General features: G+C 45.4%; 1 long non-coding RNA gene across 1 annotated transcript, besides 2 other annotated features; it reads left to right on the forward strand.

The window, feature by feature from the left end:
* Nucleotides 479–1,070: an enhancer, noted in NCBI's record as "OCT4-NANOG-H3K4me1 hESC enhancer chrX:128851647-128852238 (GRCh37/hg19 assembly coordinates)". NCBI's record gives its function as "activates a minimal SCP1, AML or CMV promoter by ChIP-STARR-seq in primed H9 embryonic stem cells {active_cell/tissue: H9 hESC(primed)}" and the evidence as "EXISTENCE:reporter gene assay evidence [ECO:0000049][PMID:30033119]".
* Nucleotides 933–11,698, forward strand: LOC124905214 (uncharacterized). Its single transcript, XR_007068327.1, has 2 exons — nucleotides 933–1,148; nucleotides 11,115–11,698. It is a non-coding gene; the product is annotated as an uncharacterized LOC124905214 (long non-coding RNA).
* Nucleotides 1,071–1,662: an enhancer, noted in NCBI's record as "OCT4-NANOG-H3K4me1 hESC enhancer chrX:128852239-128852830 (GRCh37/hg19 assembly coordinates)". NCBI's record gives its function as "activates a minimal SCP1, AML or CMV promoter by ChIP-STARR-seq in naive H9 embryonic stem cells {active_cell/tissue: H9 hESC(naive)}" and the evidence as "EXISTENCE:reporter gene assay evidence [ECO:0000049][PMID:30033119]".
* Nucleotides 11,699–14,865: the final 3,167 nt, after the last annotated feature.

Raw genomic sequence — 14,865 nt, forward strand, 5'->3', positions numbered from 1 at the left:
ATACAAGCTGTTCAATGAACGAATGAATCAGTGAATGAATCTCTTCCCCTTTGGGGACTCTTTAGTGGGAGCCTTCATTGAAGAGTGGTTTCACCACAGAGTGACCTATAAGCAAAAAATTTTAAGAGCTGGGACAGCCTGGGTTGGGGGGTGTTATTTGGTCAGGGAAATATTTTAACCCCGAAGATTATGTCCCTGAGGTATTTCAGCCTATCCAGGACTTGTATTTATGAGATGGCCAGGGTCAGGGCTCATTCTGTGGCCAAAATTAGGTGTTAAATACCCATTATCATCACCATCATCATGATTATCCTTTATTTGGCATTTATCATGTGTCACATGCTGGTATAAACACTCTTGTATATTAGCTCATTTAATCTGCACAGTAACTCTGGGAGGAAGGCGCTACTGGGTTGAACCATAAGAAATTGTCAATATTCAATCTTTTTTGACCCACAAAATAGCATTTTCATATAGTTCAACCTAAGTTACCGAATTCTTTTACCAAGGTTCAAGGAGGTGAGTCCCTTGCCCAGATTTCAATGTTCATCTCTCTGGCTCCAGAGCCCTTTTGCTATTTTCTCTACACTGCCAGCTTCTATCAGTTGTAAAATCCCTGCTATAAGCCAGTCCACAGGGTCTAGTAAGTCGGACAGGAGCGGGACTGGCTAGGGTTTCAAATGCTCTTTTGCAGGGAAGATGAACTGACTTGGCCTGAAAATGTTAGTCTTTTAGCGGTCGTGTTTCCAATTTTGTTTTAGTCTCTCACTCATCCAGAATCCACCTCCCTCACCACACACACACACACACACACACACACACACATGCACACACACAGAAGAGCCAAGCAGCTGACTCACACACCATGCCGCAGTTGCCTTGACTTTGTTCACGTAGGCTCAGCAGCTTGAGACTGCAGCCCCAGAATCGGCAGTGTCCTCAGTTGGCACCCAGAGGAGCTGTTGCATTCTCCCCTTTATTGTGGAGATGGCTGCAGCAGGTGCTCTTGTCCTGGGGGAAGACAGCCATTGAGATTGGCAGAGGCTTAAGTATGAAGTCAAAGGCAACACCTGATATCAGAAAGGGCCCAGGCAGCAGTGGGGAAGTCCTCAGCTGGATCTTTGAGCCTTGGACGGAATCAGCAGCAGGTAGGGCAGACCCCAACCCCACTGATATCTCTGCTGCTTGCTTGCCAACCCTGTGAGCTGCCCACTGAGGCAATAGGCCTGGCAGTGCTGGAGGCTGGGAAGGGAGAGACATATAGTACAGTAAGCATTGACCCCCCAGGAAAGGCTCACAGTGACCCACCCCCCTTCATAGTATGAGGGCAATGACAGAGCATTGTCCGGATTGGGGGTGGGCAGGAAATAGAGGCCAGGGAAATGCACATACTCAGAGCCTCAGGCATCAGGTGGGCCTGAGAGGCCTGGCTGAGGAATGGGGGGTAAGTCTGGACATGCAGACAGACTTCCCATGATATTCTACCTTGAGATGAATGTGGTCAGGAGGAGAGTCCAGGCTGGCTGGGAGGTTGATCTGGGGCTACAAGCCCTGGGCCCCAGGAGAGAGGAACTGGAAAGGCTTCCTCCAAGAACCCCAGAAGCCTCTGGCCTTTCCCGGCATAACTAGAAAGAGAAGCAGACAGCCCCAGGATCTTACTCAATGAGAGCTTAAAGGCTTGCCTTCCTGTTTCCTCTCTCATGAAGGGGCAGCCTGAGATGCCACGAAGAGCCCTGGGCTGGAAGTTAGGAGGCCGGAGTGCTAGTCCCATTCCCGCCTGCCAGAGCCATCCTCTCCCTGGGCTACAGTGTTCTCCATCTGCAGAAATGATGAGGCAGGATGCGTCAAGTGGGGAAGGCAGTTGGTTCTACCAGAATCATGGTTTTCAAACTTTTGCAGTTTGGAACACTTTCTTTAAACAAAATCTAACAGGGCAACTCAACGTGTAAGGTGGCAGATGAAAATAGAGCTGCTCTCAACCCATTCCCCTCCCCAGAGGTTCCCCTAGAACCTCCATGGTAGCCCAGAGCCCCTTTTAAAGACCACTGGGTTAGAGCTGTGGGCTTCCAACTTGAGTGTGCACCAGCATCACCTGGAGGGTTTGTAAGAATAGATTGCTGGGCCCACCCCTAAAGTTTCTGACTGTGTATATGGGATGGAACTGAGAATTTGCATTTCTAACAAGCACCCAGGTGATGCTGATGTTGCTGGTCCAGGGACCACAATTTGAGAACTACTAGGTTACATTCTACCCAAGGGCCTTCCTGTGATTCATGTCCAGTCATTCAATATTTACATTAATCCACTTCAGATAGATTTTCTGTGATATTAAAGCATAGGAGAACACCTGGTATTGTCCCTGGCACATAGCAGGCACTCGGTCAAAGCTGGTAGGGTCCGTTCTAAATGCTCTGCCTAGAAGTCTGTTTAGGTGTACAATCATGTTAGCCACTGGTCAAGGGATTCACAGAAGCAGAAGCTTTACTTTTAATAAGTTTACAGTCTGCCATGGCCCCTCCACCCACCAGGAAATAACACCCCCACTAATTCCATCATTAGAAGTTACTCCATGTTAAACATTATCCTTTCCAGATATTCTCTTTTTTTCCAGGTAAACCCCCTGGGAAGGGGTAGTTGTTCAGTCCCTGACCCCTCAGCATTTCTTAGATGTTTTCCCCATGTGAAGGGGACATAGCTTCGATCCTCTAGGAGTTCTTCCAGGGCAAGGACCTTACCTGTATCATTCTCCCCCACATACCCCACGGCTCCTAGCCCAGTGTCTGGTACAGAGTGGACACTCAGTACAAGTTTGCAGAATAGAATAAAGGAAGCATGGGACCCCCAACTTGACCCAGCCCACGTGAGCCACCAGCACCCCCATCATGGCCAAGGCTGCTAACTGGGGAACTTTGGAGGGTACATGGGGAGGGCAGGTCTCCAGCCACACGCACCTGGGATTGCTGCCCGGGAGGTTTTGCAAACTGGCTCCAGGAATGTTCGGGGCCTCCCATTCCCCACATCCTCCTTTTCAGCCTCACCACGTTCTTAAACAAATTGGCACTGACCCTGGTGACAGACTTGATCATTTCCCTTTGCTTCGTGATTGTGTTAAGTGACTGCCAAAGGCCTGTTCCTGAATAGTCAGCACATTCCTCAGGACGGTGAGTGGGAGCCCATCTGCTCCTGGAGCGCTTCCTTTCCTTTATTGTGCTATTTTGGCCTCAATTTCCCATTTGGACAGGAGCATCTTCCAGCCGGTGGGGAAAGGGAGAGGGTGGAGAGGGGCGCCACAGCCTTCCTTCATTTCTCACTCATATCCCTGGTTTCTCTGGAAATAAATCAACAAATATTATACTACGTGCCTGGCGCTGCTCTTAGCTCTCCACATGTGTCCATGGAGCTAATCCTTACAACACCCACTATGAGGAAGGCACAAATATTACCCCCATTTTCCAGATGAGGGAACAGAGACTGAGAGAGGCCAAGTGACTTGCCCAAGGTCGCACAATATGTGATAGAGCTGGGATTTGAACCTAGACAGGTCTGGCTCTGGAGACTGAGTTCTCACCCATTGGCTCTACCAAGGGTGTGGATTCTTGAGGCTGTGGATCTGGGCCCAATGGTATCTGAGGCCATGGCCCTTTCCCTCTTCACTGTGTGTCAGCAGGTTCTAAAGTCACTTAGATTGAACACAGAATTCCAGCCCGGCGCGGTGGCTCACATCTATAATCCCAGCACTTTGGGAAGTTGAAGTGGGAGGATCACTTGAGACCAGGAGTTCAAGACCAGCCTGAGCAACATAGCAAGACCCCATTATTACAAAAAAAATTTTAAACCGGCCAGGTGTGGTGGCGTGTGCCTGTAGTCTCATCTACTCGGCAGGCTGAGGTGAGAGGATGGCTTGAGCCCAACACTCCAGGCTGGACAACAGAGCAAGACCCTGTCTCTTAAAAATTTTTGAAAGAAAACAGAATTCCTTGCAGATCAGAAAAGGTTATCTTCATACCTTGCCACTGACCCACTCGTTTAATGCAACATTTGAACTCACAGATGCTACACCAATGTGGACTCTACCTTTGGGTTATAAAGGGCTGATATAGTAATGCTAAACAGCTCATTGTGTGCTCTTCTCCATGTACCTTGCCTCATTTATGTCTCACATCAACTCTAAAGTAGGTTGTAGGGAGAAGCTGAGGCTCAAAGATCCCCCAGCCAACCACAGACCCAGCATGTGGGCAATTCATTACTACACTAGATGTTAAACAGCCAGGTAGCTTTTGCTAGGTGTCAGGTGTTGTCTAAACACTCTCCCTCATTGATTCATTCAAGCCTCATAACAATCCCATGAAGTAGGTACTATTATTATCCCTGTCTCTATTTCGCAGATGAGGAAGCCGAGGCACAGAGAGGTCAAGTAACTTGCCTGAGGTCACACAGCCAGAAAGTGGGAGATCTGGGATTTGAACCAAGTCTGTCAGCTTAGACTGTGGGGTTCCTAGTGTATGCTCTTAACCACTGCACTGTGCTACCTCTTGGCACTGAGGCCACCTCTGGGCACTTGAGGTACCATGATACCATAACCCCCTCCATCTCTTCTCCTTGTCTTCCTGCTATTCCAAATTGACTTGGTATTTCCAATAACCATAATTCTCAGAGGTTCTGGAGTTCAAATTACAGCACTGCACTCACTAGCAGGGTGACCTCTGTTTCTTTCTGTACCCCAGTTTCCTAATCTGTAAAGTGGGAGTAATATGGTAATGAGCCCATAGGGTGGTTGTGAGCATGTAGGTCAGGCACAGTGGATTCCGCCATCACCACCACCACCTCCGGTTGCATCTTCTCCAGCCCAGCCCCAGCATCCTGAAGGGGGAAATGGTGCTTCACGCCCTTTCACTTATCAGTCTCACCCTCCGTGTCTGTCTCTTCCTGTCTCAAATGAAAAGCAGCCTTCAGTTAAGATTCCCTAGCCTTTTGAAAACTTGGTGATTACAATTCCTCCCAGGAGGTCAAAGAAACCTATTTCCCTAGCATTCTAAGCAGGAATTCTATTGTCATTTGTTAACTCAAACATGGCCAAGGTGGCCCAGCCCATCTCCTTTCGTCCACACCCATAGGAGACATAGAGAATAGATAACTTGACTGGAACAGATCCCACCAGCACCCCATGGCCAGAGTCCCTGAGAAAGAAATTCACAGCAAGGAAATGCACCAATTGCAAATAATTATTTGGAATCTGATGATTCCTTGCAACGTCAGTGACTGCGAGTGAGCCTCTCCCTCTTGCCGTCTTTACAGAAAATGTTGAGGTACTAGACAGGGAATATAAATTTTCCAGTATCTTTCCCTATGTTCCTAAGTGTCCCTGTCCTATAATTCCAGTCTTGCCTCGTTGCTACTGGTGTCTTATGTCCTCAGCTCAGTGGGGTAGAGCATAGCGCTACCTATAAGCAGGCAGTTAGGATTAGAAAATAAAGTCCCCTTCACTTAGCTCTTCATCCACAAAGCAAGCTCTAACCCTGGCCACTGACTGAGCACTAACCCCAGCCTAGAATGTTCCCTAAACCTGTTCAGAGAATGAGCCTAAACCTTGGTAATGGGCTGCCCTTAGTCTCATTCACAGACTGAGTATATAATTGCAGAGTGAAGAAACTCCAACCTGGAGAGGTAAAGCAACTTGGCCAGCATCACACAGAACCAATTCTCTGTCCCAGCCATATATTGACCCTGAATTTTAGCCACTAAGAACAAGATTTTAAGCGTGTGGGTGTATCAGTGCAAGTGACCTCTACTAGTAAGATTCCAACTCAGACAGGTGAGTGGGCACCACATCTTTGTCTCTGAGGGAGATGCCACTGTTCCAGTCTTCACGGAGTACTGGGGTTATTAAAAAGAATTCTTGCCTAGGGAGAGTGATTTGTATGATGAAAGAAATCAATAAATTGCTGTTGAATGCAGTCCAACCTCACTTATTCAAACTAATTGGAGGTAGCCTTTCAAATTAGTGAACCATCTGTATTGTAGGTTACTTGTAAAGTAATGAAGCTTTATTGTTTTGAATAATTCACAGTAGCTCCAAGTAAGCTAACAAGTTGTAGCCTAATCGAGGTCTTAGGAGACTTGCCTTAATGAAATGAAAAGAATCCTCAGCATCAATCATTTGTATGCAAATGGTCCTACCAAGGAAATGATAAAGTTTGCTGCCTTGAAGTATAGAAACTCAGTGCACAGAGTCCATTTATTCAATTCATTTATGACTTTGTTGAGAGTGGACAAAGTCAAGACAGACAGGGCCCAAGCTATCCCCATTTGGTACTCATGGAGTGTCTTCTAATGAGGTTTTACTGTAAAAGGAAACAATTGGAGAGCAGCAGGTGCAATCCATCCACTGATAAAATAAAAGATGGTTTTGGAATACTGTCACTTCCTTTCATTTTTTTTTCCTAAGAAGACATTAGAAAAAAAAGTTACCAATGTAAGTCAAGTACCTCGGTGCTTTGTCAAAACCCGGAACAAACATTAAGGGGAAAAAAATCTGAAGGTCGAGGAAGGGAAATAAACAAGAAGAGTAAGTAAAGCATGAATCATCCATTACCACCTGATGGCTCCTTAAAAATAAAAATAAAACTATGGAAGGAAATAGAGTCCATGCCACAGTCAGGCATGTTGATAGGGAACCTGGCATGGACTCTTATTTCGCAGAAAGAACTGACCTTTGGCTTCTAATTTGGATTGCCTTTTCCTCAAGGCCTTGCAGAGCACAAGGTTAGACGATGCTCGCCTAGCACCGGTTCCCAATTCTTTCTTGGGCACTATAAGTGGAGCCAAGGAAACAATTTTATTTTCATGCATTTAATTTAATTACCCCACCTTGTTTCCCAAAGACTTTGAGGTGGTTAATGACAATGAAAAAATAATGACAAAATAAAAGCAGAGAATTAGGACCAGGGAAAATATTAATAGAAAGTTTTAAATCAAGAGTTAAAGACCTGAAAGGTCATATAAAGTTGCACTACAGGTTTCTAAAAAGAGGCACAGTTGGGATTCAAACCAGCTCAGTCCAATGGACCACCTTCGGAAGGAGCACAGGATCCCCAGATGGACCTATCTATAAGTGTGATCTTGGGCTAGATACACAACTTCCCTGAGCCAATTTCCTCATCTGAATGATGGACCTAATCAATATTGTCTATTTCACAAGCTGTTATGAGGACTCAACGAAATGGTTTCTTTAAGCCATTGAGCTCCACTGGCTAGCAGAGAACATGTGCTTAATAAATGGTAGCTATGAGAATGGATATGAAGTCTCCCATGATGCAATACAAAGAATTTGCCCATAATGGCATGTCATTTAATCTTCGCACCAGCTCAGGCCTTGGGCCCAGGATCACAGAGAAGGGAGAGCAGAGGAAGGAGGGAGTCCTTGGGGAGGCTTCCTACAGAAGGTGGTACCCCAGTCAGAGCTTCTGTAGGATAGGTAGGATATGAGGAGATGGAACTAAAGGTGAAGAATGAGCTGGAAGTGTATGAGGACAGTAAGAAAACCTACTAAAGCAGATGGCCAGGTAGGAAATGAGGTTATAGAGAAGAGGATAGGGCAGGATGGGCTCATGAACTTGCTTGAATCGGGCCAGATGGTGAAGGAATGTGGATGTCATTTGACAGGAAATGGGGAGTCATTGAAGGATTTTGAGCAGGTTGAGCAGGGGAAGGATGTGACATGTTTGAAGGGATGTTTTCAAAGGTGGAGTCTGTCTGCTGCTCTCTGCTGTGTGCAGGCTGTGGTGGGGGTTGGGAGAAACAGGGACTGGCAGACCAGCTGCAGTGATCCAAGGAAGGGACATGATAAGAGCTCAAGCTAAGGCAACGGTGACGGAGAAGATGGGCGGTTCCCAATTTCAGTTAGAGGCACCTGAGAGGGATGATTTGACTTTCTTTCTAGACTCAAAATTCCATGAGGACAGGGACCATGCTCTCCTGGTTCATCACTGTACCCCTAGGACCTAGCAAAGTGCTTGGCACATAGCAGGCGCCCAGCAAGTGTTTTATGAATGAATGAATAAATGAATGAATGCCTCTATGCAGACAGACACTGAATAAGAATGGTTGCTTGCTCAATAACAAGCAATAGTACAAGGAAAACAAAATAGAGAATTTTTTTAAAGAAAACATTACTTTAACTGACTTTCTTTCACCATCCCTGGACTACAGTAACAATGTGGTATAGGAATGCAACTCAGGAGAAATCTAGAGCTGACTGGGAAAGAAGCCCTTTAAAGCAGAACCTGTATCAGCAGTGACGCTCTATAGGAAGCATGCCAACCATATGTCCCCTGGACAGTTCGCACAGTGTAGAAACATCACAATGCAGGTAAATTATAGATAGGAGAAGAAAAATGGCAGTATTTACCTCACAAAAGGATTAACTGAGCTTCCATTTAAAGTAGCAAACTGCCTTTCTAGTGTACTTAATTTGAGACCAGGACTTGACGTACTGAAACTGGGTTCCATCCAAGACAATATAGAGTAATTGTCTATACTGGTAAGAGCCTTGATTTGGGAGTACAGAAACCTAACCTTTGACCTAGGCAAGTAGCAGAATGTGGTGGTTACATTCACAGGCCGTGGAATTGTGCTGCCTGGATTTGCATCCTGGTGCAACACTGACTGGCTGTTTGGCCTTGGGCAAGTGGCTTAGCCTTTCTGTGCTTCAGTTTCTTCTTCTGTAAAATGTGATGATACAACACCTGATCCTGGTTCATGAGGTTATTGTGAGGATTAAGTGAGGTAATGCATGGAATGTGTTCAGCAATACCTAGAACGTTTCAGTAAATATTGGCTTTCACTCTTAATCCTAACTATATGACCTTAGGCAAGTCACTTCCCCTCTCTGGGCCTTGGTTTCCTCATGAGCCTGAAGCTTCTTTTATTCATACCTTAGGGATGTGGCCCCTACCTGTACTACAAACTCATCATCTATCACACATAAAAGCATCTCCACCCTCTGGGGTCCCCAGTTGATAACTCTGCCCATAGAAGGACCATTGGGATTCCTAGAAATGAGCAAAGGCCCAAATAGACAAGACTAGGATAGATTCACTTTTCTTAGTATACTTTGTAAAAGTTCCAACTCACTCACTCAGCTCCCACTTCTAAATCTTAGCCTCCTCTTTTCCTCCCAAGCAGCCTTACTTCCTTAATCATCTTCATCCCAGGCCCTAAGGGAAAGGATGCTCAAGAGCACTGCTATCCTCTGGACAGCTCCTCTAGCCAAACCCCCATTTGGATCCCAAGTTTTTCCTTTAGGTTTCTCCTCCCCAACCCCAACTCCAACCCAGGGAACTGCAATCGCACCAACCTCTGCTGCCCTCTGCTGTCTAGTTCCAGATGTGCTGGCTCCAGTTGGGCCAGTTATGTCAGCTTCCAAGGACCTGTCAGTTTTTCCAGGCCCTAGCTGCCACTGTGACCTCAGGAATACAACTCAGATGCCCTCTGCAATATCTGTGCTCTCCCTTAATCTGGACAAATGCACAGTCTTTCCTATTCAGACTCGACAGCCAAGCCACATCTGGTGTAGTCCATGAGTTCAGAACTGTTATTTTCAGCAAAGAAAGGAAGCTGCTAGAGCCATCCATACTCTCATCTAAGCCCCCTTCTCAAACATTCTGCAATCATTTATTACGCATTTGCTGTGTGCCAGGCACTGTGCAAAATGCTGAGGATGCATTCTTATTGAATCCTGGCATCAACCTTCCCAGTAGGTAAAATTATTATTATTACTTCCATTTTAAAGATGAAGAATCTGAGACTCAGAAAAGTGAATGTCTTACGCAAGGTCACAGAGCCAATGAATGGCAGAGATGGGGCACAAAAACAGATCTACCTAGCCCCAAAGCTGGTGTTCTTAACCACTGGCCATAGTGTGGAGGGTAGCTTGGAGGGGAAGAGAGTGAAAGCAGACTAATCATTTAGGATCTATGGCAATAGTCCAGGGCAGAAAGCAGAGGAAGTGATGATCTTTAGATACATGTAGGAGGTAGACTTGACAAGACATGGTGTCAAGGCAAGGGGGAGGGAGAGGTCTGCAATGACCCTCAGAATTCTGGCTTGGGCAACTGGGTGGACAGGGACATGTTGGGGCATGGGGGAAATGAAGAGATCCATTTTGCACATATGGAGAAAGAGACATCCAGGTAGGGAAGGTCAGTAGGCAATTTTTTTTTTTTTAATCTTGCTGTGTCGCCAGTCTGGAGTGCAGTGGTGCGATCTCGGCTCACTGCAATCTCCGCCTCCCAGGTTCAAGCAATTATCCTGCCTCAGCCTCCCGAGTAGCTGGGACTACAGGCACATATCACCATGCCCAGCTAATTTTTTGCGTTTTTGTAGAGACGGAGTTTCACCATGTTGGCCAGGATGGTCTTGATCTCCTGACCTCGTGATCCGCCTGCCTTGGCCTCCCAAAGTGCTAGGATTACAGGCATGAGCCACTACGCCCAGCCAGCAATTGGTTTTATGAGTCTAGAGCTCAGGAAAGAGACCTGGGCCAGCACCGACTTGGAGATGGGTGAGAGTGGAGTGTAATTCATCAGAAGAAAAGAGGGCTGAGGCCAGGACATCAATATTTAAGGGGAAGGGAGAATAAAAGAAGTGTAGGAAAAAGACTAAGAAAAAGTAGCCACAGATGTAGGAGAACCAGGAACAATTGTCAAGGAAGTCAAAGAAAAGGAGAGGTTCAATGAGGGAACAGTTCTGCTAAGTTGACTACCACAGAGAAGTCATTAGCCTTAAAATGGCCCTTTAGATTTGGGAAGTAGAAGGCTGTTCTCGTTATCTATTGCCATGTAAAAACAAAACAACAAACAAACAAACAAAAAACCTTAGTGGCTTAAAGCAACACAAATCATGGTATTATCCTATCATCTCTTATGGTTTCTGTGGGTTAGAAATTTGGGGTGGGCAAGGAATCTGGCTCAGGGTCTCACCTATTGTTGCAGCCAGAGAGGGGCTGGAAGCTAGAACATTGGGTGGCGGGGAGCTGGGGGCTGGCCTGGGGCTGGCTGGCCTTCTCTCTCTCTCTTCCTGTGGTCTCAGGGCCTTTCCATGCCACTTCTCTGCAGGGGCTACTCTGAGCTTCCTCACAGCCTGGAGGTCTCCGGGGAGTAGACCTGCTTGTATGGCAACTGAAGACCAAGAGAAAGAGTCCCATGTGCTACAGACAGAATGCTCGTGTGCCTCCGAATTCATATGTTGAAACCCTAATCCCCAATGTGATGGTATTTGAAGATGGGGAAGTTTGGGAGGTGATTAGAGGTCATGAGGGTCGAGCCCACCTGGTGGGATTTGTGCACTTATAAGAAGAGACCAGAGAGCCCCATCTCTGTCTACCCCCTCCCTCCCTCTCTCTCCACCTGTCATATCAGGACATAGCAAGAAGATGGCCATCTGCAAACCAGGAAGAGTGTTCTCACCAGACACCTGATCTGCTAGCACCTTGATCTTGGACTCCTCAGCCTCCAGAACTGTGAAACATAAATGTTCATTGTTCAAGCCACCCCATCTATGGCAATGTGTAACAGCAGCCCAAACTAACTAATACACCATGTTTCTGTACATCAGCAATGAAAAATCCAAAAGGAAATGAAGAAAATAATTCCATTTACAGTAGTACATAAAAGAATAAAATATCTATCAATAAATTTAACCCAGGAAGTGAAAGACTTGTATACAGAAAACTACAAAACATTGCATATAGAAATTAAAGAAGACCTAAATAAATGGAAAGTTCACTTTCACCACCTGCCATTGGTCAAAATACTCATAAAACCCTGCCCAGTTTCAAGGGGAGTGGACAAAGACATCCCCATAACCTGCCATCTCTCAGTAGCGAACACCACAAAGGTCATTAATGCCTCTAGCAAGAGCTCCTTTAGTGGAGTGGTCGGGGCTCAGATCAGACCACTATGGGCGAGGATAGGCATAGACAACTTTACAGAAGGGCATACAATACCTGAATCAATGAAAAGATAAGGTATATTCCAGGATGTTTTTAAAAACTCAGACATTTTCCCCAGATTAATCCAAACATCTAATGCAATATCAATTTGAATCATAACAGGAATTTTTATAGGACTTGATGTGCTGATCCTGAGATCATCTAGAGAAGGAAATATGCAATATGACAGAGAAGTGTTTAAAAAATGGGCAGGAAGTCTTCCACTGCCAGCTATCAAAGCACAACACAAGCTATAGTAATTAAAGCAGTGTAATGTTGGCACCGCGACATAGATCAATGGAACAAAAGAGTCTAGTACAACCCCACGTATATGTGAGACTATAATATGCACTACATAAGGCATTGAAAATCAATGAAGAAAAGATATACTCGTCAATAAATGGTTACGGGACAATTAGTGTCAAATTGGGGGTGGGGGGTTAAGGCACAATATTCTTAAATCTGTACCTCATGTCATATCCAAATACAATTCCCAAATGGATTAATGAGCTAAATACACGTGCACTCACAAAAAAATTATATGAAACTGTGAGAATATATAGGACAGTATTTCCTTGTTAAGTAAGTCACAAGTCCCAGAAATTATAAGAGTATCTTGATAGGTTTTTGGCTACACAAAAAAAATTTCAGTCTCTAAAATTAAAAACAAAGTTAAAAGGGAGAAAATACTTGAGGTATATAAATATTTGTCAAACAGATAAATGAAGAATGCACATAATATATAAAAAGATCTCATTTTTAAGTTAATAAGAAAAAAACAAACAACCCAATGAGAACATGGGCTAATGAAAGGAATGGGTACTCAAAGATGAAGAAAAAAATAAAAGGCAAATAAAACATAAGGAAGCATAGTCAACCTTTACCAGCCAGCAGGTAAACACAAAGCAGCAAGAGACCAATTTTCACCCATAAAATTGGTAAAACCTTAAACCATTGATGTTATCCAGTGTTGAAGACATTGTGGAAACAGCTATTTTATTGGTAGAAGTGTGATTTGCTACAGCTTTTCTTGGAGGGCAGTTTGGCAGAATCTATTGACATGACAAAATTGTACGCTTTTCTACTTCTAGATATGGATCCTAGAGCAATGCTTCATGTGCGTGAATTTTCATGGCCCCTGTTTGTAACAATGCAAAGTCAGAAACAACCTGAAGGTCCATCAATCATGAAATGCAAGCAGGGTAGGGATTTGAGGACAAGGATAAAGGTCTGGAATCTCCCACAAGGGCAACAGAAAATACAGCTGACTCAGGACAGGGAAAAGGATTGCCAAGCAGCACCAAGAGGCCTGCCGAGGTTGGACACCAAAAATTTGGAGTGATCCCAACCAACAGGGTTGGGATATATTCTCCTGTAGAGAAGACAGATGGTTCAAATGCCCTGGGGTTTACTTATTTATTCAATAAAAAGTTATGAATGCCTACTAAGCTCCAGGTAGTGTTCTAGGCCCTGAGATATAACAGTGGACAAACATAAACAAATAGGTACACAATATAATGTCAGGAAAATACTCTGAAGAGGTAATAATACAGAATAGGAAATAAAGAGTGACAGAGGCACTGTTTAAATAATGAGGTCAGGGAAGTCCTCTCTGAAAAGGGGACATCTGAACAGAGGACTGAATGAAGCGAAGGAATGAGCCATGTTGGCATCTGAAAAAAAGAGCATTCCTGTTAGTGGGAATGGTATATGCAATGACCCTGGGATGGGAGCATGCTTTACTTGGGGATGGACATTGGCAGGATACATGGAGTGGAAGCACAAAGGAACAGGAGAGTTAAATGTGCTAGCAAAAGCGAGGTTGGAGTGATGGGTTATGTAGTTTGAGCCAAATAGAGAGGGAAGGGAAACCAAGGGTTGCTGATAAGTGGAGAGGAAGAGCGCAGGGCAAGGAACAGGATGTTTTGGTGAAGTCAAAAATCAGGTGCAGTAAGAGTGAAGGAGAGAAGCACAGGAGGGTGTGTTCGGAGAATGGGGGGTTGGAGTTCAGTATGTCAAAGGACAGTGATCCCAAGCAGTGGCAAGGCCCAAGATGCTACTTTGGTTGTGGGAGGCTGAGGAGGAGTGGAGGAGAAAGGGCCTTGAGCTGAGGAGCTTTGGACTTGAAGAAGGAGGACATTAGATGGGTCATTGACAGGAACCTTGATATGACTCATGGTAATGGCAGACATGCTGCAGAGAGGCAGCCATGAGCTAGTTGCTGTGGTCCTTTCCACGACTGAGGAAGTGTTGAAAGGCAGATGACAGGACCTGTGACAAAGGCAGTAACAGAACTAATAGGGGAAGTCAACCTCGCCAGGAGGTCAAGGAAAGCTTCCAGACCAAATGACATTTGAGGCAAGACTGGAAGGAAGAGGAGTTCACAGAGTAAAGAGAGGAAGGAAGGGTGGGTATTCTGGGTGAAGAGAAATGAACAAAGACCCTGTTGCTAGAGGAGACACTGTAAGAGGGACTCAAAGAATGGCATATGGCTAGAGTGGAGATGGCAAGGAGAGGGGCATAAGATGGCTGAGAAGTAAAGAGATCAGGCTCCTGAAGAGGACAGAAGGTTGGGAGAGTGCCCAAAGACCACCAAATGAAGGGTTGAGTGAAATCAACTAGAACCTTGGTGAGCCCCAGTGGTGCTATCGCCATGCATCCTTATGCAGTGCAAGGCCCCTGAGAGGGCAGCATAGGTTTGTGACATGCCTGGCTGGGCTTTGGACTCAGCCAGGGCTCAGGATCTGACTTAGTCTGTGACCACTGAAGTGAACCAAGCTAACTGGCCTACACGGGGCTCTAGCCAGATCCACTGGGTCTCACTAGCAAAGTTCCTGAACCATAATCACTGATAATGTTTGAATATATGTCTCTTT

This window comes from Homo sapiens, chromosome X (assembly GCF_000001405.40).
Source record: "Homo sapiens chromosome X, GRCh38.p14 Primary Assembly".
NCBI lineage: Eukaryota > Metazoa > Chordata > Mammalia > Primates > Hominidae > Homo > Homo sapiens.